Source organism: Homo sapiens, chromosome 14, assembly GCF_000001405.40.
Source record: "Homo sapiens chromosome 14, GRCh38.p14 Primary Assembly".
Taxonomy (NCBI): domain Eukaryota; kingdom Metazoa; phylum Chordata; class Mammalia; order Primates; family Hominidae; genus Homo; species Homo sapiens.
In genome coordinates this window covers 67386764-67412273 of record NC_000014.9, presented here as the reverse complement: position 1 = coordinate 67412273, position 25510 = coordinate 67386764, and the positions used below count along the sequence as shown (strand labels likewise).

General features: G+C 47.4%; 2 protein-coding genes across 4 annotated transcripts in view, besides 1 other annotated feature; one reads left to right on the top strand and one right to left on the bottom strand.

Moving 5' to 3' along the window:
* The window catches only part of GPHN (gephyrin), a 1227209-nt gene that overhangs the window by 323082 nt on the left and 878617 nt on the right, over window positions 1–25510 (bottom strand). The window lies entirely within an intron of this gene.
* Window positions 109–25290, top strand: PLEK2 (pleckstrin 2). 3 transcript variants are annotated; one of them, XM_047431263.1, is made up of 10 exons: window positions 109–256; window positions 14219–14267; window positions 14448–14612; window positions 16691–16872; window positions 19033–19124; window positions 19425–19612; window positions 19847–19948; window positions 21528–21611; window positions 23972–24050; window positions 24818–25290. In XM_047431263.1, exons 5-10 carry the CDS (start codon window positions 19049–19051, stop codon window positions 24943–24945), a joined length of 657 nt encoding a protein of 218 aa, XP_047287219.1. In that variant the 5' UTR covers window positions 109–256; window positions 14219–14267; window positions 14448–14612; window positions 16691–16872; window positions 19033–19048; the 3' UTR covers window positions 24946–25290. The 3 variants fall into 3 exon arrangements, with proteins under 3 accessions (XP_047287219.1, NP_057529.1, XP_047287218.1); NM_016445.3 differs by lacking the exon at window positions 14219–14267; XM_047431262.1 differs by lacking the exons at window positions 14219–14267; window positions 19847–19948.
* Window positions 22688–22982: a silencer, noted in NCBI's record as "tiled region #12737; HepG2 Repressive non-DNase unmatched - State 23:Low, and K562 Repressive DNase matched - State 7:EnhWF". NCBI's record gives its function as "represses a minimal TATA promoter and a strong SV40 promoter by Sharpr-MPRA in HepG2 and K562 cells {active_cell/tissue: HepG2 | K562}" and the evidence as "EXISTENCE:reporter gene assay evidence [ECO:0000049][PMID:27701403]".

Genomic DNA, 25510 nt, shown 5'->3' with positions numbered 1-25510 from the left:
TTGGGTGGAAACGTCACGTCAGAAATCCCGACTTGGTCTGACTTCCTGCCCCGGGGCCTCAGGCTCTGGACACGCGCCAGGGAGGCGTCGCCCTGCCGCGTCGGAGCTGCTTCCTGGGCGCCGTGGGCGCGGACTGCGCGGGCTGCGCGGGTGCCGAGGAGCGCGAGGCGCGGGGAAGGCGCACCTGGGGTGGCCCTGGCGTGCGGGCGGCGACATGGAGGACGGCGTGCTCAAGGAGGGCTTCCTGGTCAAGAGGGTGAGTGCGCGTCGAGCTTCGGGACATTGCCCGGGTGGGGCCCCGCCGACGCGGCTCCCTAGAGCGGGGCCAGACGCGCGCCCCGGAACGGGCATGCTCTGGTTCCCATCCCCAACCCCCATGGTGGGACCGGGCCGCCTGTGGCCCTGATGGGCAGAGCTGCATGTCCGAGGGGACGCGGGGTAAGCGGTGGCTCAGCGCACAGGCAAGGAGGAGAATCCCACTTGGTTAGCGCAGTATGGAGTCGGGGCAGGGGTACTGAAGCGTGTGTCTTAATTAAAACTTGTTAAAATATTATGAATGGTATGATATTTAAATAATATTTACTAAGATAATATAGGCGTGCTCTGTAATTTACAACCTGTGAAGGAGGAATGCTACTATGTGTCTTAAGCACTTACTGTTGGCCAGCCCTGGATATTGTCTCATGTCATCCTCCCAGCAGCCCTGCTTTCATCAAGGGGGAAAACGAAGCCCAGAGGAGTTAGGGAACTTGCTCGGGGCGGTGAAGGCAGTGGGTGGTGGAGCCAGGATCGGGATCAGACCCACTCAGGTTGACCCAAACCTTTACTGCCTCCCCAGTGCCATACACGGTGGGTACTGACATCACTCTATTACAGACGGGGAAACTGAGGACCAGAAAGATGAAGTAGCTTGCCCAGAGCTCCAGAGCCAGTAATAGCTGGGACAGGAACTGCATGTTCTGACCTCCCCTCCTCAGTCCTTCCCCACCACCCCAGGTGGCCCAGGGCAAACGAGTGCAAACAAAAACTCAGTGCCTGGGATTATGGTAGAAGATGAACAAAAGAGCAGCTGCAAAAGGAAGTTTGTTATTTCAAAATTTTTTCCTGATTTGACCTTTTTTTTTTTTTTTTTTTTTTGAGACAGGGTCACCCAGGCTGGAGTGCAGTGGCACAATCCTGGCTCACCACAGCCTCGACTTCCCAGGCTCAGGTGGTCCTCTCACCTCAGCTTCCCTAGTAGCTGGGACTACAGGTATCCACTACTATGCCCAGCTAATTTTTGTATTTTTTTGTGGAGACAGGGTTTCGCCATGTTTCCCAGGCAGGTCTTGAACTCCCGGGTTTAAGTCATCTGCCCACCTTAGCCTCCCAAGGTGCTGGGATAACAGGCGTGAGCCACCACACAGAGCGTAATTTGAACAATGACATTAACACTAACCATTTATACTGCTATGATGGCATAGCAAAGAGACATATAAATCCAGGGCTGAGCTTTCTGGTTCTTCTACTGAGTTTTCAGCTTTGGGAGGGGAATGAAGAGGGATGAGGGGCCCTTCCTTTCATTGCCTCCCGGGGTGGCTGGATCAGCCCTAAAGTCTCACATCACTTTCATTTTCCCCACAAAATGTGTCCACATGATGTTGCACGTTATTTGGTACAGGAGAGCGGTGGCTGTTTGCTGTAAACAGTAAGCAAGGAGGGTAGAAGCTGATGCCAGATCAAGGGTCAGACTGGATAGAGCAGTACAAAGCGCCACGCCCACTTGCCACTGTGGCTGAACTGATAGGCCGGTTTCTCGCAGCATGTGGAGGTGGCTGCACCTCAGACTACACATGGGGAGCTCCTAATCTCACATTTAACTGCGGCTTGGGAGGTGGGAGGGAGAGTGAGAGCTGGGCACGGGGCTTTTTGTTGGCACTGTTGATATAGCTGGGCCCTGGTAGAGCCTGTGGAGGGATGAAGTTAACATGGAGACAGATCCTTCTGATAGAGCTTTGGGAGTTTTGGAGGCCTTCTCCTGTTCCTGGGGGTTACCTTCCATCATTCCCTATCACCCCCACCATGCTGAGAGTCAGAGGAGGGCTAAGGGCAGAGCCACAGAGCTCCCAGGATATCACCAGGAGGATGGGACTTCTCTTCTGGGTGGCCTGGTTAGGGAATCCAGGGTGCAGAAAATGAGGAGAGTCAACAGATCTGGTCCCCGTAAGCCCTTGGAAAAGACGGGGCTTGGCTGAAATACCTAGAGCTCATTCCAGCCAGACCCAAAGACTGGGATGGAGCCTGACCCTGAGGCAAGCAGAAGTCACACCCCTCCCTGCAGGCTGAAGGATAGGGCCCCAGAACCCTGTTGTGGTCCCAGTCTGCTGAGTAATCCCAACTTTTTCAACCCTCCATATCCCCTCTACTCTTAGATGGCAATAGCATTCCCTATGTCCACTGGAGAAGTTGCAGGCTGTGGCAGGGGGATTCCATAGTCTTAGGAGAGTTAAGAGCTCAGAGGTGGGGCAGGGCCTGCGTTGGAAGCCGGAGTGCAGAGCAGTCATCACCGGTGAAAGCGAAGCCAGAGACAGGCAGGGACATGATAGAGTTGGCTCTTAATCCCACCCAGACGAGAAAGAAGCAGAGTTCCAGGCAAAATGCAAGGAGCTCACTGGGCCTGGCTGTCAGGGGAGTGGGGAGAGGGAAGTGGGGGATGAGCCGTGAGCAGGAGTGCTTTTCCTGGGAGAAGAGACAGAAGCACTGCCGGGCGTTCCTGCTGGGCTCATATTGTGAATAACATTGCAATGTGAACATGCTCTGGCCTAGAGATTTTATGTGCAGGGCTCTATCCTTTTTTGTAAAGCTCTGTAAAAGCTTTATAACAAAGAGTTATTTTTATTTTATTTTGTATTTTTGTAGAGATGAGGTCTCACTCTGTTGCCCAGGCTGGTCTCAAACTCCTGGCTCAAGTGATCCCCTGGCCTTGGCCTCCCAGAGTGCTGAGATTAGAGGTGTGAGTCACCACACCCCCCTGTTACTTATTTATTTTGTTTAGAGAGGGTCTCACTCTGTTGCCCAGGCTGGAGTACAGTGGCATCAGCAAGGCTCACTGCAGCCTTGACCTCCCAGGCTCAAGCAATCCTCCTGCCTCAGCCTCCCTAGTAGCTGGGACTACAGGTACATGTTACCACACCCAGCTAATGTTTTGTTTTTTGCTTTTTTTTTATTTCTTTTTTTTTTTTTATAGCGACAATGTCTCACCATGTTGCCCAGGCTGGTCTTGAACTCCTGGGCTCAAGCGATCCTCCCACCTTGGCCTCTCTAAGTGCTGGGATTATAGGCGCCTGGCCAATAAAGGATCATTTATGTGGCGAAAAAACTGAAAACCACCTGTCTGTCCCCACCAAATGACTAATTAAATTATGGTTATGCAGATGTTGAATATGTTTATAGTATTAAAATCCGAAGAGTAAAGTGATAAAATGTATGAGTAAAGAAAAAATATGCGTAGAAGAAAAAGAGCAGAAGGAGTTCTGGAGGCTAGAGGTGCAAAATCAAGGTGTTGCCAGGGCCGTGCTGCCTCTGAAACTTGTAGAGGAGGATCCTTCCTAGCTTCTGGTGTTTGCAGGCAACCCTTGGCATTCCCTGGCTTCTAAATACTTCAGTGCAACCACTGTCTCTGTTGTCACGTGACCATCCTCTCCCTATGTGTCTCTTAGTGTCCAAATTTTCCTCTTCCTATAAGGACACCAGTCAATTGGATTAGTGCCCATTCTAGTCTAGGGTGACTTCATTTTAACTTGATTACATCTGCAAAGACCCTATTTTCAAATAACATCACACTTACAGGTCCAGAGGTTAGGACTTCAGTGTATCTTTTTTGGGGAAATACAATTCAACCCATAGCAAGTATCATCCCATCTTTGTTTTTTCTTTTTTTATTTTATTTTATTTTATTTTATTTTATTTTATTTTATTTTATTTTATTTTATTTTATTTATTTATTTTGAGACCGAATTTTGCTCTTGTTGCCCAGGCTGGAGTGCAATGGTGCAATCTCGGCTCACTGCAACCTCTGCCTCCCAGGTTCAAGTGATTCTCATGCCTCAGCCTCCTGAGTAGCTGAGATTACAGGCATGCACCACCACGCCCGGTTAATTTTGTATTTTTAGTAGAGACGTGGTTTCTCCGTGTTGGTCAGGCTGGTCTTGAACTCCCAACCTCAGGTGATCCACCCACCTGGCCTCCCAAAGTGCTGGGATTACAGGTGTAAGCCACCATGCCCGGCCCTCTATTTTATTTTATTTTCAAGAGACAATGTCTCAGTATGTTACCCAGGCTGGAGCACAGGGACTGTTCACAGGTGTGATCATAGTGCATTGCAATGTTGAGCTCTTGAGCTCAAGCGAACTTCCTGGCTCAGCCTCCCAAGTAGCTGGGACTACAAGTACACACCACTGGGCCCAGCTGGCATCTCTGCTTTTCTCAGGGTTATAGAGCCTTGGGCAAGACCTTTCTGTGCCTCTGTTTCCTTATCTTTAAAGTTAGGGGTCTGCCGGGTGTGGTGGCTCACACCTGTAAATTCCAACAATGTGGGAGGCCAAAGTGGGAGGATTGCTTGAGGCCAGGAGTTCGAGAGCAGCCTAGGCAACAAAATGAGAACTCATCTCTACAAAAAATAAAATAATTAGCCAGTCATGGTGGTACTCGCTTGTAGTCCCAGCTGCTTGGGAGGCTGAGATGGGAGAATCGCTTGAGCCCAGGGGTTTGAGGCTGCAGTGAGCTATGATCATGCCACTGCACTCCAGCCTCGGCAACCAAATGAGACCCTGCCTCAAAAACATTTTTTTTAATTAAAAAAAAATAAGGTTAGGGGCTGGGCGTGGTGGCTCATGCCTGTAATCCCAGCATTTTAGGAGGCCGAGGTGGGCAGATCACGAGGTCAGGAGTTCGAGACCAGCCTAGACAACATAGTGAAACCCCATCTCTACTAAAAATACAAAAAATTAGCCAGGTGTGGTGATGGGTGCCTCTAATCCCAGCTACTCGGGAGGCTGAGGCAAGAGAATTGCTTGAATCCAAGAGGTGGAGGTTGCAGTGAGCTGAGATCGCACCACAGCACTCTAGCCCGGGCGACAGTGCAAGACTCCGTCTCAAAAAAAAAGTAATAGTAATAAGGAATAAAGGAGGCTTTTTCCTGGGGTCTCTCCAGCTGTAACATTCTGTGTCTCATAAGCCCATCCCTGAGGTGCCATTCCAGCTTATGGGCCCCTCGTCCTTCTCTCCAAAAGGGATCCAGGGAACTCCAAGCACCCCCTGCTTCAGCTGGCCTCTGGTTCCAGCCAGCGGATTACAGACAAGAAACCTAAAAGAGAAGCTACTCTCTGCCCAGGGACAAGTGTCCAGGTGGAGGGAGGCCTGGGTTCTTCTTCAGCATACCATTGTGTTATCGGCCTGTGACTCACTTTGCCTGGTGATTTTAGACCAGTCACTATGCCCTCTGTGCATGGTGTGGTTTATCTGTAGAGCAGAACCGGTGGTGCTTTCCTGCCAGGTTCATGGACTATTCCAGCAGCCTCCAGCTGAGCTCCCCACTCCAGTCTCACCTGCTTCCTTTGGCTATTCTGTTCTGCTGCTGTGTTCGGAGTGATAGGTTTAACATGAGAACGTAAGCTTGCTGTCTTTCTGCTTAAAATCCTCCAAGGACTCCCCTTGAAGATCAAACTTTGTGGCACAGAACCTGAAGCCCTTGCCACCTTGGTCCCCATCACCTCCCCTATGGAGCCCAAGCCATATAGAACCACGGGGAGTCTCCCCAAAGTGGCAGGGGTCCTATGCTCACCCCTCCTTGACTTCCTGACCTGCCTAACTCCACACAACCAGGAAGACTGAGCCCCAGTATCACTCCTGGGAATGTACCTAACCCCACCTCAGCCTCTCCTGAGCTCCTCCTTGGGGTTTGTATCATGCCCTATATTAATTATTGATTGTTGTATAACAAATTATCCCAAAAGTTAGCATTTTTTTTTTTTTTTTGAGATGGAATCTTGCTCTTTCACCGAGGCTGGAGTGCAGTGGCGCCATCTTGGCTCACTGCAACCTCCTCCTCCTGGGTTCAAGTGATTCTTGTGTCTCAGCCTCCTGAGTAGCTGGGACTACAGGCACCCACCACCACGCCCAGCTAATTTTTGAATTTTTAGTAGAGACGGGGTTTAACCTTTTTGGCCAGGCTGGTCTCAAACTCTTGACTTTAAGTGATCTACCTGCCCTCAGCCTACCAAAGTGCTGGGATTACAGGTGTGAGCCACCGTGCCTGGCCAAGCATCTTAAAACAACAAGATTTGTCATCTCACTGTTTCTGAGGGTCAGATATCCAGTAACAGCGTAGCTGCAAGACTGGCTCAGGGTCTCTCGTGAGGCTGCAGCCAAGAGTGACAGTCACCTGAAGGCTTGACTGGCTGTAGGGTCCAATTCTGAGCTCACCTACATGGCTGTTGGCTGGAGGCCTCAGCTCCTCACCTCTCAATTGGGCTGCTTAGGATATGGCAGCTAGCTTTTCCCACAGCAAATAATCAGAAAGAGAGAGAGGGAGAGAGGCAGAGGGAGAAAGAGAGAGAATGCCAATAAGAAGCCTCAGAAGACCTTTATAACCTAATGTCAGAATTGGGATACCATCACTCTGCCATATTGCCATACAGACCAACCCTAGTAAAATGTGGAAGGAGACTATGCAAGGCTGTGAACACCAGAAGGAGGGGATCACTGAGGCCATGCCAGTCATCTGTCCTGGAACTTTTCATACTGGGTGGGGTAGGTGTCTGTCTTCCCCACTGGATTAGGACAGAGTCTTGTTCATCTTTGCCTTGGTGCCATATTATTAATCATTGATTATTAAATGAATGAATGAATGATTTCCCTAATCATCTCATCAGGATTTTTGTGTATTTAAATTTAAATTCATTTTTTCATGATAAAAATAATACATTCATATAAGTAAACAAACTAAAACAGTACTCAAGGAAATGAAAATGAAAATAAGTTTCTATTCTTTTTTTTTTTTTTTTTTTTTTGAGATGGACTCTTGCTCTGTCGCCCAGGCTGGAGCTCAATCTTGGCTCACTGCAACCTCCACTTCCAGGATTCAAACAATTCTCCTGCCTCAGCCTCCTGAGTAGCTGGGATTACAGGCGCCTGCCACCACACCTGGCTAATATTGTATTTTTAGTAGAGATGGGGTTTCGCCATGTTGGCCACGGTGGTCTTGAACTTCTGACCTCAGGTGACCCGCCTACTTTGGCCTCCCAAAATTCTGGGATTACAGGTGTGAGCCACCGCACCTGGCCACCATTCTTATTACTCTGTATCCACTCTTACTCCTTAGAGGTGACCATTGTTTACATTTCTGGGGTATCCCTCCAGAAATTTTCTAAACTACAAGAAATACATAAGTATTAGAAATACTTATGTACTATATATATTTTTTCTGAGATGGGGTCTCACTCTGTTGCCCAGGATGGAGTTCATTGGTGTGATCATAGCTTACTGCAGCCTCGACCTCCCAGGCTCAAATGATCCTCCCACCTCAGCCTCCTGAGTGGCTGGGACCACAGGTGCATGTCACCACACCTGACTAATTTTTTTATTATTTGTAGAGACTAGGTATTGCTGTGTTGTCCAAGCTGGTCTTGAAGTCCTAGGCTCAAGTGATCCTCCCATCTTAGCATCCCAAAGTGCTGGGATTACAGGTGTGAATCACCACACCCAACTCGAAATTTTAAATATTTAGAAGTATTTTCTAAAATACTACTACTAGAGGTTTGTTGTTTAGTTTTGTTTTTGAGACAGGGTCTCACTATGTTGCCCAGGCTGGACTTGAACTTTTAGGCGTGGGCAATCCTCCTGCCTCAGCCTCCTGAGTAGCTGAGACTGCAGCTGCATGTGGCTGCTAGAGTTTTTTTAGGTATCATATGAAGTAATATGAGTAAAAGTGCTTTGCTCATGTCAAAGACATTGCCACCTATTCTTGTTGCTTTAGACTGTGGAGTCTGACCTTGAAGGCTGTGCCAGTGGCCTACCATCTCTTAGGATTGGAATTCTTGCACTGCAGCTACACCAGGCACTATGTTGTTACCATATATATTTAGATTATTTTTCATTTTTTTCATTATTATAAGCAGTGTTCCTATAAGTGTCAATACATGAAACCTTTTCTATAATCTATATTATTTTCTTTCAAAAATTTTTTTGGCAGTCTCACTGTGTTGCCCAGGCTAGAGTGTGGTAGCGCAATCACAGCTTGTTGCAGCCTTGACCTCCCAGGCTCACGTGGTCCTTCCACCTCAGCCTCTTGAGTTGGCTGAGACTACAGGAGTGTGCCACCACACCCAGCTAATTTTTTATTTTTTTGTAGAAATGACTTCTCACTATAGCGCCCAGACTGGTCTTGAACTCCTGGGCTCAGGAGATCCTCTCTCCTTGGCCTCCCAAAGTGCTGGGATTATAGGCGTGAGCCACTGCACCCAGCCTCATATTCTAGATTATTTACTTAACAGAGATCCCTAAAGTGGTATTATTGGGTCAAAGGATTTGAACATTTTCATGAGGGCCACCAGCTTATTTGAATTTCTTGTCTACGTAGTACATCTTTTGTCATCAGTTTTTCTCCTCAGACTTCTCTCCTTTGCTATCAGTTAGGATTCTCAGTTGCTTGTAACACATTCCACTTTAGTGACTTTGAACAGAAGGGGTTTCTTGGAGGACATATACAAACTTGAGAATATTTGACAGGACAGAGAATATTTGGCTGGGATGCCATAGAGCTGGGGACCATACAGTCAGACAAAAACACCCACAGTACTAGGTTGGTGTCATTTCTGTTTGAAGATGTTTCTATTAGAAGCATCACTGCTGACTCTGTTTGCCACCTGTCCCTGATGACTCTGAGTCTGGGTATCAGAACAATCTGCTCTTTTGCTACTGCCCTTGCCAAAATTTCTTGTTTTCCCATGTTTGACTACCACCAAACATGCATCAATGCAAAATGGGCAAAAGATTTGAATAGACATTTCTCGAAAGAAGACATACAAATGGCAAAAAGGTCTACGAAAAAGTGCTCAACACCATTGATTATCAGGGAAATGCAAATCAAAACTACAATGGGATATCATCTCACCCCAGTTAAAATAGCTTTTATCCAAAAGACAGGCAAATACAAATTCTGGTGAGGATATGGAGAAAAGGGAACCCTCCTACACTGTTGGTGAGAATGTAAATTAGTACAACCACTATGCAGAACAATTTAGAGGCTCCTCAAAAAAATATAAATAGAGCTACCATGTGATCCAGCAATTCCACTGCTGGGTATATACCCAAAAGAAAGGAAATCAATATATTGAAGAGATATCTGCACACCCATGTCTGTTGCAGCACTGTTTACAATAGCCAAGATTGGAAGCAACCTGTGTCCTCCAACACATGAATGAAGAAACTGTGGTACATATATACAATGGAATACTATTCAGCCATAAAAAAGAATGAGATCCTGTCATTTGCAACAATGTGGATGGAACTGGAGGTCATTATGTTAAATGAAATAAGCCAGGCACAGAGAGACAAATGTCACATGTTCTCACTTATTCGCCAGCTCTAAAAATCAAAACAACTCATGGACTTAGAGAGTAGAAGGATGGTTACCAGAGGCTGGGAAGGGTGGGTGAGGGGCTGCCGGGGAGATGGGAATGGTTAATGGGTACAAAAAAATTAATTAGAAAGAATGAGAAAGACTTACTATTTAATAGCACAACAGGGTGACTATAGTCAATAATAACTTAATTGTACGTTTAAAAATAACCAAAAGAGTATAATCGGATTGTTTGTAACACAAAGGATAAATGCTTGAGGGGATGGATACCCCATTCTCCATAATGTGATTATTATGCAATGTATGCCTGTATCAAAATAGCTCATGTACCCCATGTATATATACTTATTATGTACCCACAAAAATTAAAAATAAAAAAATTTAAAGTAAAAATTACATCAATGCCCCATGCATGGAATTGACAGAAACTTCCTTAAGTGGAAGAAACTCTGGGAAATGTAACATTTCGTCCAGGAAAGTATAACATCTCTGTATTTTTGTTGATGTTGTTGTTGTTGTTTGAGATGGACTCTTCCTCTGTCACCCAGGCTGGAGTGCAGTGGCACTGTCATCTTGGCTCACTGCAAACTCCGCCTCCTGAGTTTAAGTGATTCTTCTGCCTCAGCCTCCTGAGTAGCTGGGATTACAGGCATGTGCCACCATGCCCAGCTAATTTTTATATTTTTAGCAGAGACAGGGTTTCACCATGTTGGCCAGACTGCTCTCGAACTCCTGACCTCAGGAGTTGGGTGATCCGCCCACCTCGGCCTCCCAAAATGTTGGAATTACAGGCGTGAGCCACCGCGCCGGCCTGTATTTGTATTTTCTGCCCGATATCTGTTGGTTGCATTTTTCTCCTCTTATATCACTAGTCTCCTTCCTTTCCCTATCATATTAGTTTATGAGGGCTGCTATAACTAAATATCACAGAATAGGTGGTTGAAACAACTGAGATTTGTTTCTCATGGTTCTGCATGATAGAAGTCCAATATCAAGGTACCAGCAGTTTGGTTTCTTCTAAGACCTCTCTCTCCTTGGCTTGCAGATGGCACCTCCTCACTGTGTCCTGAGTGGTCTTTCCTCTGTGTGAGCTGTGTGTCCAAATCTCCTCTTCTTTTTAAAATTATTATTATTGTTGTTTTAGAGACAGGGACTCACTCTGTTGCCCAGGCTGCAGTGTAGTGGCATGATCTTGGTTCACTGTAGCATTAACCTCCTGGGCCCCAGCAATCCTCCCACCTCAGCCTCCCAAGTAGCTTGGACTACAGGCACGTGCCACCACGCCTGGCTAATTTTTATTTATTTGTTTATTTATTTATTTATTTTTATTAATAGAGATGAGGTCTTCCTATGTTGCTGAGGCTGGCCTCAAACTCCTGGGCTCAAGCAATCCTTCTGCCTCAGCCTCCCAAATTCCTGGGATTACAGGCCTGAGCCACCGCAGCCAACCTAAATCACCTTTTCTTATAAAGACTCTAGTCAGATTGGATTAAGGCCCATCCTAATGACCCCATTTTAATTTAATTCCCTCTTTAAAGGGGATGTATCTCCAAATACATTCCCAGTCTCAGGCACTGGGGCTAGGCATTCAACATACGAATTTTGGAGGCACACAGACACACAGTGCATCCCATACTATTATTATTATTATTATTATTATTTTAAGAGGCAGAATCTTGCTCTGTCACCCAGGTTGGAGTGCTGTGGTGTGATCATAGCTCACTATAGCCTCAAACTCCTGGGTTTAAATGATTGTCCCTCCTCAGCCTCCCAAGTAGCTGGGACTGCAGATGTGTGCCACCATGCCCAGCTAATTTTTAATTTTTTCTTGTAGAGATGGCATTTCACTATGTTGCCCAGGCTAGTCTCAAACTCCTGGTCTCAAGTGATCCTCCTACCTTGGCCTCCCGAAGTGCTGGGATTACAGGCGTGAACCACCGAGCTCAGCCCTAAGATTCTTTTGCCCTCTCCTCTACTCCACCTCCCACCTCCCTCCTACCATTAACTTAATTGCCTTCTCCACTCCCTTCCAGCTACAGCCTTGGGTGCCAGCAGTTTACTGCCTTGGATTCAGAAGCACCCAGATGTCCCAGACCAGTCCTGCTAGTGCTGCCCCAGGACCCCTGCAGTTGGGGCGGGGGGTGGTCATAGGAAATGGGGACCTGAGGCTGGGCTATGTGCAGAGCAGTAGAGAACCCCAATAGCTGAGAAGTCAAAGACAAATCTTTTTTGTTTCTTTAAACATGTCTGCTTGTGTCAGGTAAAACTCTCAATGCCCATACTACATGTGGATGTAAGTAAGGAACAAAGTGAAGAGAGCAAAAATGTGCAATTCCACTGGACTGCATGAACCCTCTCATGGAAACAGAGTGATCATCACGTAGCATAGTAACACTGGGACATGTTAATAAACTCTTGTCAGATTAGCTGTGTTATAAGTGTTCTTTAGTTGTCACAGTAAATTCTGTTTGGGCTCAAGTCAGTGTTCACAAAGCTCAGTTATATGCACAAATAACTTTGGTGCAGACGATTCCTTCTACAACTTTTGGCTCTCTAACAGCTCTTAGTACGTGCTGAGTGTGGAATAGAATCATAGCACCAGAGATTGAGAACTAAAAGGGCCTTTGATATGAATCCATACTAGGCAAGGAAATGAGTGAGTTGGGGCAACGGACTTTGATTCAGGTAAAGCACCTCTGTTGGTTAGAACCTAGCCCTAAGCTCGGCTTTGGAAATATCCCAGGAAGGTGCTTTTGTGACTGTGTACTAAACTCATTCCTTTCTGATCCCTCAGCAGACATTTCCCCATCCACTGATCTTTCTAGAAATAGGCTCTCCATGTTCACCTGACTATTCTGCCCATTGGCTCTACCACCCACTTGAGAGCCACCTAAACTACCCTTCTCTTTATTCCTGCCACCTGAGACCCACCTAAACCACCCTTCTCTTTATTCCTGCCACCTGAGACCCACCTAAACCACCCTTCTCTTTATTCCTGCCACCTGAGAACCACCTAAACTACCCTTCTCTTTATTCCTGCCACCTGAGAACCACCTAAACTACCCTTCTCTTTATTCCTGCCACCTGACAGCCACCTAAACTACCCTTCTCTTTATTTCTGCCACCTGAGAACCACCTAAACGACCCTTCTCTATTCCTGCCACCTGACAGCCACCTAAACTACCCTTCTCTTTATTCCTGCCACCTGACAGCCACCTAAACTACCCTTCTCTTTATTCCTGCCACCTGAGACCCACCTAAACCACCCTTCTCTTTATTCCTGCCACCTGAGAACCACCTAAACTACCCTTCTCTTTATTCCTGCCACCTGACAGCCACCTAAACTACCCTTCTCTTTATTCCTGCCACCTGAGAACCACCTAAACGACCCTTCTCTATTCCTGCCACCTGACAGCCACCTAAACTACCCTTCTCTTTATTCCTGCCACCTGAGAACCACCTAAACTACCCTTCTCTTTATGCCTGCCACACCTGGCTAGGTAAGACTGTCAGAGTCCTTAGCACTGGGAGACTGTAAGTGGCCTCATATTGCCCACATCCTTTGACTAGTAATATTCTTTCTAGGAATATATCCAAAGGAAAAAAAGCAGATGCAGGTCAAAATTTACGTGCAAGGATATTCATTACAGAACAGTGGAAAAAATGGAACAACCTCAGTTACAAACAATAGAAGTTGGCAAGTAAACTATGTATCCACATAATCGTCATTAAAAATATGTTTTACAGAAATTTAATGGTATGAGAAGATGTTCAGCAAGGCCAAACAAAACAGGGACCGGGCATGGTGGCTCATGCATGTAATCCTAGCACTTTGGGAGGCCAAGGTGAGAGGATCACAGAAGCCCAGAAGTTCTTCAAGACCAGCCTAGGGAGTATAGTGAGACCTCGTCTTTACAAAAAAATTTAAAAATTAGCCGGGTGTGGTGGCACACGCTTGTAGTCCCAGCCACTCGGGAAGTAGTTTAGGTGGTTCTCAGGTGGCAGGAATAAAGAGAAGGGTCGTTTAGGTGGTTCTCAGGTGGCAGGAATAAAGAGAAGGGTCGTTTAGGTGGTTCTCAGGTGGCAGGAATAAAGAGAAGGGTAGTTTAGTTGGTTCTCAGGTGGCAGAAATAATGAAGGGTCATTTAGGTGGTTCTCAGGTGGCAGGAATAAAGAGAAGGGTAGTTTAGGTGGCTCTCAGGTGGGTGGTAGAGCCAATGGGCAGAATAGTCAGGTGAACATGGAGAGCCTATTTCTAGAAAAATCAGTGGATGGGGAAATGTCTGCTGAGGGATCAGAAAGGATCCCTTTCTGAGGTGGGAGGATCACTTGAGTCCAGGAAAGGGAGGCTGCAGTGAGCTGAGGTCATGCCACTGTACTCCAGCCTGTCTCTTTTGAGACCTTGTCTATAAAACAAGAACAAAAACAAAAAAAACTAGAAAATAAAACTATATGTAAAATAATCTTAATTTTTTTAAAAAACCAGAAGGCAAAAACTAAAAGGAAAAAAGACCGGAAGGAAATACAATATGTTAGCAATGGCTGTCTCCTAGCAGTAGGATTACAGGAAGTGATTTTTCTCTTCTTTTTACTTTGTAGTTTCTTTCAAGATTTAAAACCAGAGAAATGGCCAAATAGGAACTAGAAGGTCAGTGCCAAAGGTCTTTGCTACGTACTCAGAAGAGATCCAGACACAAATCCTGCTGTCTTCCTTGGAGACTGATTTCCACAGCACAGTCTGGTTACTTGTGCCACCAGACACCCCCTCCCTGAACACCATACCCTCCCACTGACCGCCTCACCTCAGGGCTTTCTTGTCTGTCCATAGGGCCACATTGTCCACAACTGGAAGGCGCGATGGTTCATCCTTCGGCAGAACACGCTGGTGTACTACAAGCTTGAGGGGGGTCGGAGAGTGACCCCTCCCAAGGGCCGGATCCTCCTGGATGGCTGCACCATCACCTGCCCCTGCCTGGAGTATGAAAACCGACCGGTAAGTGATGGCCCCTGCTGTCCAGCTCCTCTCTGTTCCACAGCCTTCCCACCTCTGGCCTCTTTGGGAAAGTGGTGTGGGTAGGAGGAAGAGCTCAGAGTTAGAATTGAAAAACTTGGATTCAAATCCTGGCTCCGCCACATACCAGGTATGTGAGCTTGGACAAGTAGCTAAACCTCTCTGAGCCTTCGTTCCTCATCTGTAAAATGGGATGAAATAATTACCCCTGAGTGTCTCACATGGTTGTGGTGAGGACCATGAAGGTCACGGTGTATTAGAGCACTGTATGGGCTGGGAGGCAGGCACCACACAAATGTGAGTAATTACTGCTATCTTGGGGTTCACTATGATGGCTTTCATCCCCTGAGGGGTCTGCGTTCCAGAAGTAAGGGGTGGCTTCAACTCTACCATTAAAAAAGTCTAGGCTGGGCGTGGTGGCTCACGCCTGTAATCCCAACACTTTGGGAGGCCGAGATGGGCAGATTGCTTGCGGTGAGGAGTTTGACACCAGCCTGGCCAACATGGTGAAACCCCATCTCTACTAAAAATACAAAAACTAGCTGAGCGTGGTCGCAGTGGCCTGTAATCCCAGCTACTTGGGAGGCTGAGGCAGGAGAATCGCTTGACCCTGGGAGGCAGAGTTTGCAGTGAGCCGAGATCACGCCACTGCACTCCAGCCTGGGTGACAGAATGAGACTCCTCAAAAAAAAAAAAAAAGTCTCCCAATAAATTATTTATCAAGGGCCCATCATGTGCCAAGACATTTGCAAGGCATGGAGGAATCAAGGAAGAAAATGGTAAGATTGTTTCTTCATAGAGTTGCTGATTTTATTGGGAAAGCAAGTGGTTAATTGAAAAATATTTGGCATTCCAATGATGCCACAGCTATCAGGAGCTGCAGAAAACCCTTTATCCCTGAAGAGGAAAAAGATATTTCAGGCTGGGTCAGGCAACGCTTCAGGAATAGAGATGTGGGCAAAGATGGAACAAGGAGAGAGGCAGTCATTCTGGACAGGTAGAATGTCTTGAGTAAAAGTAAGAAGAGAATGCATGCAGAGAGGTGGGTGTGGCTTCTGGGGAGAAGGGCCTCCAGTGTGGTCAAAGGGGAATGTTCACCAAAGGAGTGATAGGAGTTTGGTTTGGGCCAGATGGAGGTAATGGAGAGCCATTGAAGATTTTGAGTGAGAGCATGGTCTGATGAAAACTCTCTTAGAGGCCAGGCGCATTGGCTCATGCCTGTAATCTCAGCACTTTGGAAGGTCAAGGCTGGCAGATCACCTGAGGTCAGGAGTTCAAGACCAGCCTGGCCAACATGGTGAAACCCCGTCTCTACTAAAAATACAAAAATTAGCCAGGCGGGGTGGTGGGCGTCTGTAGTCCCATCTACTCAAGAGGCTGAGGCAGGAGAATTGCTTGAACCTGGGAGCCGGAGTTTGCAGTGAGCTGAGATTGCACCATTGTACTCCAGCCTGGGCGACAGAGCAAGACTCCGTCTCAAGAAAAAAACAAAAAACAAAACAAAACAAAAAAACAAAGCGACCTGGATGGGAAGGAGCTGAAACTATATCCTATGAGAAATGTGTGAAAGACTTGATGCTTAGACACAGGAAAGAGGACGGAAGGGAGCATGACTAACAGGCCATTTGAGGTAGGCATTAATATCCTGTCATTTCCTAATGTGCCCGGGAGTCCACAGCCAAGTGGCAGAGCTGGGGTTTGTGTTCAGATGGGACTGATTTTAAAGCCTGGGCATTTCCCTCTTCAGTGTAGGGGCTGTCATAGGAGGTGAGTCTTCATCTGTGTGGTTCTAGAAGAGAGAACAGAACTAGTGTGTCCAGGAGGCAGGCCCTACAGTAACTACCTTGTCCACAAGGGAAAGGCTGCAGTGTGAGGCCGCAAGCTTCCTGTCACTGGAGGTGTCCAAGTGAATCTTTAAAGACTACCTGCTATGTGGCCGAGGGCTCAGGGCATTTGGCAGTCACTGTCACCTAGATTCTCCCGGGGCCCCGTCATTTTTGCTGCCCGGCGTCCTCTTGCTCTGCCTGAGTGCTGGCCTGACTGGCTCTCTCTTCCCACAGCTCCTCATTAAGCTGAAGACTCAAACATCCACGGAGTACTTCCTGGAGGCCTGTTCTCGAGAGGAGCGGGATGCCTGGGCCTTTGAGATCACCGGGGCTATTCATGCAGGGCAGCCGGGGAAGGTCCAGCAGCTGCACAGCCTGAGAAACTCCTTCAAGCTGCCCCCGCACATCAGCCTGCAGTGAGTGCCCCACTTGCCGGGCTCTGTGGCAGCCTCTCCTGCCTGTGTTGGGTGGGCAGGGGACCCTGCCCCTTGGGGGGGCTCTGTGCTTGCTGCACAGTCTGGCTGGTGCCACCACGGTGCTTCAGGGCCTTCAGCTGTTCCTGTCCTGTGTATATTATTTTCTCTGCTTGGGAGTGGCCCTACCTACCTGCCCCATTCCTATGGGATCTCTCGTGGCTCTTGCCACCTCTGCACACCTCCATGACACAAGACCCCCATTCCATTTCAGCCAGGGTGCTCAGGGCTGTGTCACAGCTCCCCCAAAATCTCGTCTTAGTCTGTTTTCTGTTACTTATAACAGAATACCTGAAATTGGGTAACTCATAAGGAGGGATTTATTTCTTATCATTATAGAGGCTGGGAAGTCCAAGGTTGAGGGGCTGCATCTGGTGAGGGCCTTCTTGCTGGTGGGAGTTCTCTGCAGAGTCCTGAGGCAGTGCAGGGCATCACACAGTGAGGGGGCTGAGCATGCTAACATGCTTGCTCCGATCTCTCTTCCTCTTATAAAGCCACCAGTCCCATTCCCATGATAATTCATTAATTCATTTAACCCATTAATCCATTCACAAGGGCAGAGCCCCCATGACCCAATCACCTCTTAAAGGCATCACCTCTCAATATTGCCACATTGGGGATTTTCAACATGAGTTTTGGGATAAACATTCAAACCACAGTAAATCTCCACCAACCTCCCAGGCAAAAGAACTGTTAACACCCATCAAAGATGTATGAATCCATTCCTGGGCTCACAAAAACTCCCCACCAGGCACTGAAATCTTGACTGTACACCTCCTATGGGTCTAGGTGGGTGCAGGGAGGATCAGCTGCAGATAAAGGTGGGTAGGCAGGTGGGTTTAAAGATAGTTGGAAAAGTAGCTGAGGGGGTTTGGACTTAATGCAGGGGATCACAGAGAACCATGTGGGCTACTGTGCACTCTTGGGGCTTTTTTGTTTTTCTTTTTTGGGGACAGGGTCTCACTCAGTTGCCCGGGCTGGAGTGCAGTGGCTCGATCATGGCTCACTGCAGCCTTGACCTCCTGGGCTCAAGTGATCCTCCCACCTCAGTATCCCAAAGCACTGGGATGACAGGTATGAGCCACTGTGCCCAGCATACACTCTTGTTTGTAAGTTAAAAGTCACACCTCTTTGGTTTTACTACAAAAGCAGTGTGTGTCTGGCATAGAAATATAAGAACATTTAGATAAGGAGAAGAAAAGAAATGTCTGAAAATCCTGCCTCTCAAATTTGGAGGCATAACTGAACACCCTGTTCTGTGGTGAGGAGGTATAAACAAACCTACCTGCAAGGGGAGCTGAGAGGCAGGAGAAAGAGGCTGACAATTCCAGTTTCTCACAAAGAGGCATTTAATAGGGACTTACAAACAGAAGTGATGTCCCTGCTGGCCTAGAGACAGCGAATCACCACACTTGTCTTCCAGAAAATATCCTTTATATAGCAAGCTTTTTTGGGAAAATGTGCAGCTAGTGGTGCCTCAGACTTTCTTGTGAAACCTGTGACCACTGGGGAGGTTAGATAAACATCTTTATGAGGGGTGAGCCGTGCTATGGGAACACCGTGGTATGCAGGAGTCAAACATCCATCATCAGGCCAGGCACGGTGGCTCACACCTGTAATCCCAGTACTTTCGGAGGCTGAGGCAGGCGGATCACTTGAGGTCAGGAGTTCGAGACCAGCCTGGTCAACATGGTGAAACCCCATCTCTACTAAAACTACAAAAATTAGCCAGGTGTGGTGGCAAATGTCTGTAATCCCAGCTGCTCCGGAGGTTGAGGCAGGAGAATCACTTGAACCTGGGAGGCGGAGGTCACAGTTAGCCGAGATCTTGCCACTGCACTCCAGCCTGGGTGACGGAGCGAGACTCTGTCTCAAAAAACAAACAAAAAACAACAACAACAAAAATCAATCATCATGGCGGCTTCACTTCAAGATGGCATCACTCTTGCCATTCAAAAGGCTGCTTTCCTACACCCCTTTTCTTTGTGATGTGTGTCACACCATTTGCCACTTGCTTTATACCCTTAGCAGTGACTCAGGACCCTCCCTTATACCTGCCCGCGTGATGAGGGTTCCCTCTCCTTTGCCTTCCCTTCCATGTAGTCGCATTGTGGACAAGATGCACGATAGCAACACCGGAATCCGTTCAAGCCCCAACATGGAGCAGGGAAGCACCTATAAAAAGACCTTCCTCGGTGAGCCTGTCCCCCAGGGCCGGGCTGGGCAGTCAAGCTGGGACATGGTGATGCAGGGCTCAGCTGTGTGCTTGACCGCCCTGTATTGAGGTCAGAGCTGCCTGCTGGGCAACAGGCTAGCCTGAGATGGCCATGTGTGGGTGTGCAGCCACGGCTCTATGCAGCAGGTGTGGCCTTCAGTCTGCTCTTGCGTAGAGCCCTGAGGCTGCCCAGAGGGCCAAGGTCAGTGAGGTCATTGGCCACACACCCCAAGGACGCTGGTCCATCACCCATCGCCTGACTGGTGCTGCCCTTGGCCAGGCTCCTCCCTGGTGGACTGGCTCATCTCCAACAGCTTCACGGCCAGCCGTCTGGAGGCGGTGACCCTGGCCTCCATGCTCATGGAGGAGAACTTCCTCAGGCCTGTGGGTGTCCGAAGCATGGGAGCCATTCGCTCTGGGGATCTGGCCGAGCAGTTCCTGGATGACTCCACAGCCCTGTACACTTTTGTAAGTTGGGGAGTGGGTTCTTCTTGCCACCAGGGCAAAAGTTAAGGAAGACACAACAGAATGGGGGCCTGGGGGCCACAGTCATGGGAGGAGACCTTGGGCTTGGGGGACGACTTCATCCTGATGCAGAATGAGGTTCCTGTCCTGAGGAATTTCCTTTCCCCTCTGACAGCCGCCATAGCCTGGGCCTGGGTCTTTTCTGTAGCAGAGTCCTTGCTCCCTCCTTCCCCCTAGGCTGAGAGCTACAAAAAGAAGATAAGCCCCAAGGAAGAAATTAGCCTGAGCACTGTGGAGTTAAGTGGCACGGTGGTGAAACAAGGCTACCTGGCCAAGCAGGTATGGCTGCTATGAGCAGGGAAGAGAGATGGACAGTTCTCAAGCTTAGGGGAGGGAGCAGTGAGCCCAGAAGAAGGGAAGGGCTGAGGCTGCTGGAGGGCACCAATTACAGCAAAATCTACGAAAGCAAGAGCCCAGCACCAGCCTCCAGGAGCAAGTCAAAGAACAGGCATATGCCCACACTCACACACACATGTGTACCAGACACAAGGGCTGTTCGGGAAAAATGTACTACACACACACACAATTATCACAACATCAAAAAACAACTTCTACACAATTGCCCAGCTTCACATATTTGTCTTGGAAGCTTTTGCTGACTGGCTTGAGGTTTTGCATTTGCTGGCCTTCTGTTCCTTGGGGCGTCCTGGGGTCTCTGCCTTCCCTTGTGAGATTCTGCACGCCTCCTTGATACACTTTCTGAGCTAAAAACAATTTTCTCCACCATGTCGGTAGGTTGAAGATCAGATTCTCCACTGTAAGGCTCCCTATTCAAAGCCTGGCCATGGCCACTACTCCTAAACCGTGTTTGGGAGAGCAGCTATGTTGAACCAGAGGCAAGCCGTGTCCTGCGGCATTCCTACCTGTGCCTAACAAAAAGGGTATTCTGTGAACAAAATCACCTGTCCTTGGCCCAGGAAGTGTAGCAGACATTTTGCACAGCCTTCGTGTTTGTGCACATATTGTATACCATGTGAATGTGTGTGTCTGCACAGAGGGCACCTACACGGCTCGGCACCACTCCCATCGTTACTCGGAGCATGTGCTGTTGCTGTCACCTGCTTCCTGCATATCAGGATCCTCATCTGCTCTTAGATTCTTATCATCCCCACTGCTGCCTGTCTACACCAAGGCCCTGCTTCTGCTGGGCCTGATAGGAGTCCTTCCCGAGGGGAGGAAGAGAGGCCCCTAGGGGAGCTTGAGGAGGGTGTGGGAGGGACTCTGAGGGTGTTCCTGACTAGGAGGGCTAAGGTTTGTGATCTAACCTTAGCCCTCCTGGTCAGTGAGGCCAAAGAAAGTCACACACACACACACACACACACACACACACACATATCAGCTGCTTACACATTTAGATTTTATCATATAATTGATCGTTTCTTGCTTTTTTCCTAATGCACAATGTGAAAGTGGTTTTACTGCACATGTGGGCACACGTGTAGACTGACAAATATACATGTAGCTGTAGGTTTGTTTTTGGACTGACTTGGCCCTTAGCTGGTGCCCTTGGGTTCAAGTTTGCCTGTGTGCTCCCAGCCCAGCTGACACCTGCTGCCTCCCTGTCCTCCTTTATGCCCTGAGTATTGTGTGTCCCCTTTCCTTCTGCATGGACTCTCTTTGGCTCTGCTGACTTGACTTAAGGTGATGGCATTTTTGCTACAGTGTCACTGAGTGGGGGTGTTGGCAGGGAGGTCTGTGACATGTCATTGCTATCCTCAGGTTTCCTGTGGACTGGTTTTAGAATGTAGTCCCATTGGAGCGGGCTGGCTTGTTGGGGGTTTGGCATTACATGCATAGATACAGGAGAGAGGGACATGCAGCTGTCACCAATGAGCTTTGAACCATTTCTTTGCCTCAGGGACACAAGAGGAAAAACTGGAAGGTGCGTCGCTTTGTTCTAAGGAAGGATCCAGCTTTCCTGCATTACTATGACCCTTCCAAAGTGAGTGCGCATGCTGGCTCCATGTTGGTCCCATGTTGTGATGCCCCCAGACACTCCTCTCCTGGCATGGCGGGCAGCTGGCTGGATATCCTGCCTTCCCCTGGCACCCGCCGTAAAGTCTGCTGCACCATGCCTTTCCTTCCACAGTCCAAGCTGCTCTGCCCTGTCATCACATAGGTGCCTGCTTCTTGAGCCGTTTCTTCCATGCCTAATCCCCCACTTTCCCATGGGAGGGCATCTTTATCATTTTCAGAGGAAAAGCATCTTTTGGTCTTCCCCAAAGCCTGCTTTGTGAGTAGGGAGGATGAGGTAGGCTGACAGAGACTCCTACTGGCACTTCCCAGCCTCTCCACACTTTCCATTCAAAGATCCCATTAATTCTGCCTCCCTCCACTTTTCCCCACCTATGTTTTGAAAAGTTTCTGTCACCATATAATATTTAAGCCATAATTTACTAATTTGCTTTTTAAAAAACTTTGATGGCAAATTAAAAAAAAATCATTTTTATGTTTCTGATACTAGGTATTACCACATGCTAAGTGGATCTAATTCCAGTCAAAAGCAAAGAAAAAGGGCCCTTTAGTTAGCTGTTCAGCCTTGTCTTGGGCAATGTATGACTTTCATTAGTTTTTGTTGAAACAGTGAAGAGTGGGCAGTTCCTTCCTCACTGAGCTTCAGTCAGGAACCCCTGCCTGGACCCAGCTAGGCCAGGGCCAGGGAGGGATGTGGCAGGAGGAGCCTCCAAAAAGCTCCAGTTGACCTCTCTGTGGGGCATGGTGGCCTGGCTACAGGATGGAGTTCAAACTCCTTCCTTTCTGGCTACCTCAAATCCTGTTTGAAGCAAGGAAAAAATAAACAAATGAAAAAACACTTAAAAAAAAAAAAAAGAAAAAAAACACTTTAGTTTTGTATTTAACTCTCACCATGGTCTAGCCTAACCTACTTTCTTTGTGCCCCTGATGAGTCTGCTGTCTCAGCTTTTAAAATAGGAAACTGAGAAAATATATACACACACATACGTGCCTATACACACCTATCTATAAATACATATACATGTAAATATACATATATACATATATATGTACACATGCACAAATGCTCATATACATACATAGATGGAAACAGTGCAGAAGAGATTACTCAAAGCAAGTGTGCAAAGGAAATAAAAGAATTGCCAAATCTCTGGGCTGCAGGTACAAGATAAGGAACCATCTCAAAAGCATTCTGCAATTAATTTGTTCCGCACTTTACTCCCACTCTTCCTCCTGTTTAGGCTGAATGCCCCTCTCCTGTCCTGGGGACCTACTCTCCTATCCAGGACAGGACTCTCCTGTCCTCCCTGAGACTGCCCTTGAACCCTCCAGGCTGGGGCGGATCCCTTCCTTCTCTGAACTTTCCTCCCGTTGGCATTTAGTAGTACAAATATTTCCAGTATTTTATTTAACCATTTTATTTTTTGCCCTACCTCTTGCTGGGCCCAACATGCAGTATGAAGTTGATTATTGATTAATTGAAGGGCTCCTAGGGCCTGAGGCACGAGGTGTGTAAAGTTGCCCTGAATCGTCCAGGGATACCACCAATCGCAGTTTTGTATCACACGAAGTTTCTTGCTAGGCACATACTAGATTTGTGTAACGATGTCCTATGTGCAGGAATCTATCAACTTTGCAGAAATGATTACTATAGCTGGGTGCAGTGGCTCATGTCTGTAATCCCAGCACTTTGGGAGGCTGAGGAGGGCAGATCACTTGAGGTCAGGAGTTTGAGACCAGCCTGGCCAAGGTGATGAACCCCTGCCTCTACTAAAAATACAAAATTAGCCAGGTGTGGTGGCGTGTGCTTGTAATCCCAGTTCCTCGGGAGACTGAGGCAGGAGAATCGCTTGAACCTGGGAGGCAGAGGTTGCAGTGAGCCGAGATCGTGCCTCTGCACTCCAGCCTGAAAGACAGAGTGAGACTCCGTCTCAAAAAAAAAGAAATGATTACTATAAATATATATTTCTGATTGCTTTGTAAGATGCACACAAGGGTTAAGGAAGCCAGTGAATGTTTTTCCGGGTAGCATATTGGATCAGAGGCTCTGTTTGAGACATCTCCAGGAATGAAAAGCAGATTTGCAAGTCTGTGAGACTTGGTAACTGCAACATTGATGGGCACTACTGCTGCTGGCTGTGAAATGAAGAGGCCCAAGCTTCCTTACTGATGCATGCAGCTTTGGCCATGTGATGTCCAAGTTCAGCTTCATCTTCTATTACAAATGATTTGCACTCACTTCTTTAGCTGGCCTGAGTTGTAAGGGGAGTGCAACTCTTCCCTTTTGTTCATTCACAAATTCCTAATTGGGTCTCCTTTCCTCTACAGGAAGAGAACAGGCCAGTGGGTGGGTTTTCTCTTCGTGGTTCACTCGTGTCTGCTCTGGAAGATAATGGCGTTCCCACTGGTAAGGTACAACTTCAGCCCTGGCCTGAAGATCTCAGGGGCCTCCCTCCTGCACCTCAGTAATGTCCCACTAATGAAATGACAGCTTTGGGAGCCGAGCAGGGCTTTCTCCATGAGACAGAGTGGTGTGAGTTTTGAAGTGAATTTCAGAATTGAACAAAGGGTATGTTCTTGGCGTTTTAAGAATACAACTAAGTAATCCTTATGTTAATAATCTTTCCCCTCAGTTTCTGTGCTGATGGCCCATAAGCTTCCGCCTAAAAATAATAGGTGAGGCTTACACAATGCTTTAGGGTTAACAACATACCTTAATATGTATCATAATACTAATTTCACAATAGCCAGCCATAGTAAGAAGATATTATTCCCATCTTGTGTCTGTGGAAACTGGGGTTCCAATAAGTTAAACAATTTGAGATCAAACTCCAAATTCTATGCTTGCTTTTAACATAAACATACTGGATTCTTTGATGTAAATGAAATGGTAGATCTATGGCATGCTACCATCTTGAGCATAGGGAGCAGGCAAGAGGGCTTCCAGGAATATCCAGACATAACCATTGGAAGGCCTTAGGGCACTGGTGAGGGACAGGGAATGGGAGGAAAAGGGGACCTCATCTGATAGGATTCTCTAACTGTAAACCTTTTATTTAATAAATACATCATTGTATGTTTTTGTCCATGTCTCAGTTGACTTTCTGCTGGTTCAAGATGAAAGCAGACATGGCTATTCAATCACTGATTTTTTTCCCCCTTTTTTCTGCCTAGGGGTTAAAGGGAATGTCCAGGGAAACCTCTTCAAAGTGATTACTAAGGATGACACACACTATTACATTCAGGCCAGCAGCAAGGCTGAGCGAGCCGAGTGGATTGAAGCTATCAAAAAGCTAACATGACAAGGACCTGAGGGAACCAGGATTCCTCCCTCCTACCAGATGACACAGACAAGAGTTCCTGGAGAATGGGAGTGTTAAGACTTTTGACTTCTTTGTAAGTTTTGTACTGCTTTGGAGAGTGAATGCTGCCAAGAGTTCCTCAGATTACAAACAGCAGTGGTGCCATTTCCTTCCCCATCTTCATGTTACAAACCTGGAAAGGCTAGAACAGCCATTAGGCGTCAGCATCTTGACTTTTCCCCAGCATCACAAACAGCCATTTCCTCGGGCACCAAAGTAGGTTCCCTTTGTTGGAACAATTACACTGGCCATGCCATAATGTTGAATAAAACTCTCTTCTTATGAGGTTCTCTCTTAACTTCTTTGGAATTAGTAAAAGCTGACAATTTGTTTCTAGCTATTAGAATCCCATACAAAGTTTATAGTTTTCGAGCAACGTTTCAAGTATCTCTGTCATTAAGACATAGTTCATCTTAAAGTGGGGATGGTGGCCAAACTTTGTACATTGAGAATATTGTTTTGCTTTAGAAAACAAGCCTGCATAAATATTATACATTACAGAAGT

Coding starts and splice junctions, on each gene's coding strand:
- PLEK2 (NM_016445.3), top strand. CDS start 215: ATGGAGGACGGCGTGCTCAAGGAGGGCTTCCTGGTCAAGAGG. Junction 16,873..19,032: donor CCCCCGCACATCAGCCTGCA/GTGAGTGCCCCA, acceptor CCTTCCATGTAG/TCGCATTGTGGACAAGATGC. Junction 19,613..19,846: donor CCACAGCCCTGTACACTTTT/GTAAGTTGGGGA, acceptor CCTTCCCCCTAG/GCTGAGAGCTACAAAAAGAA.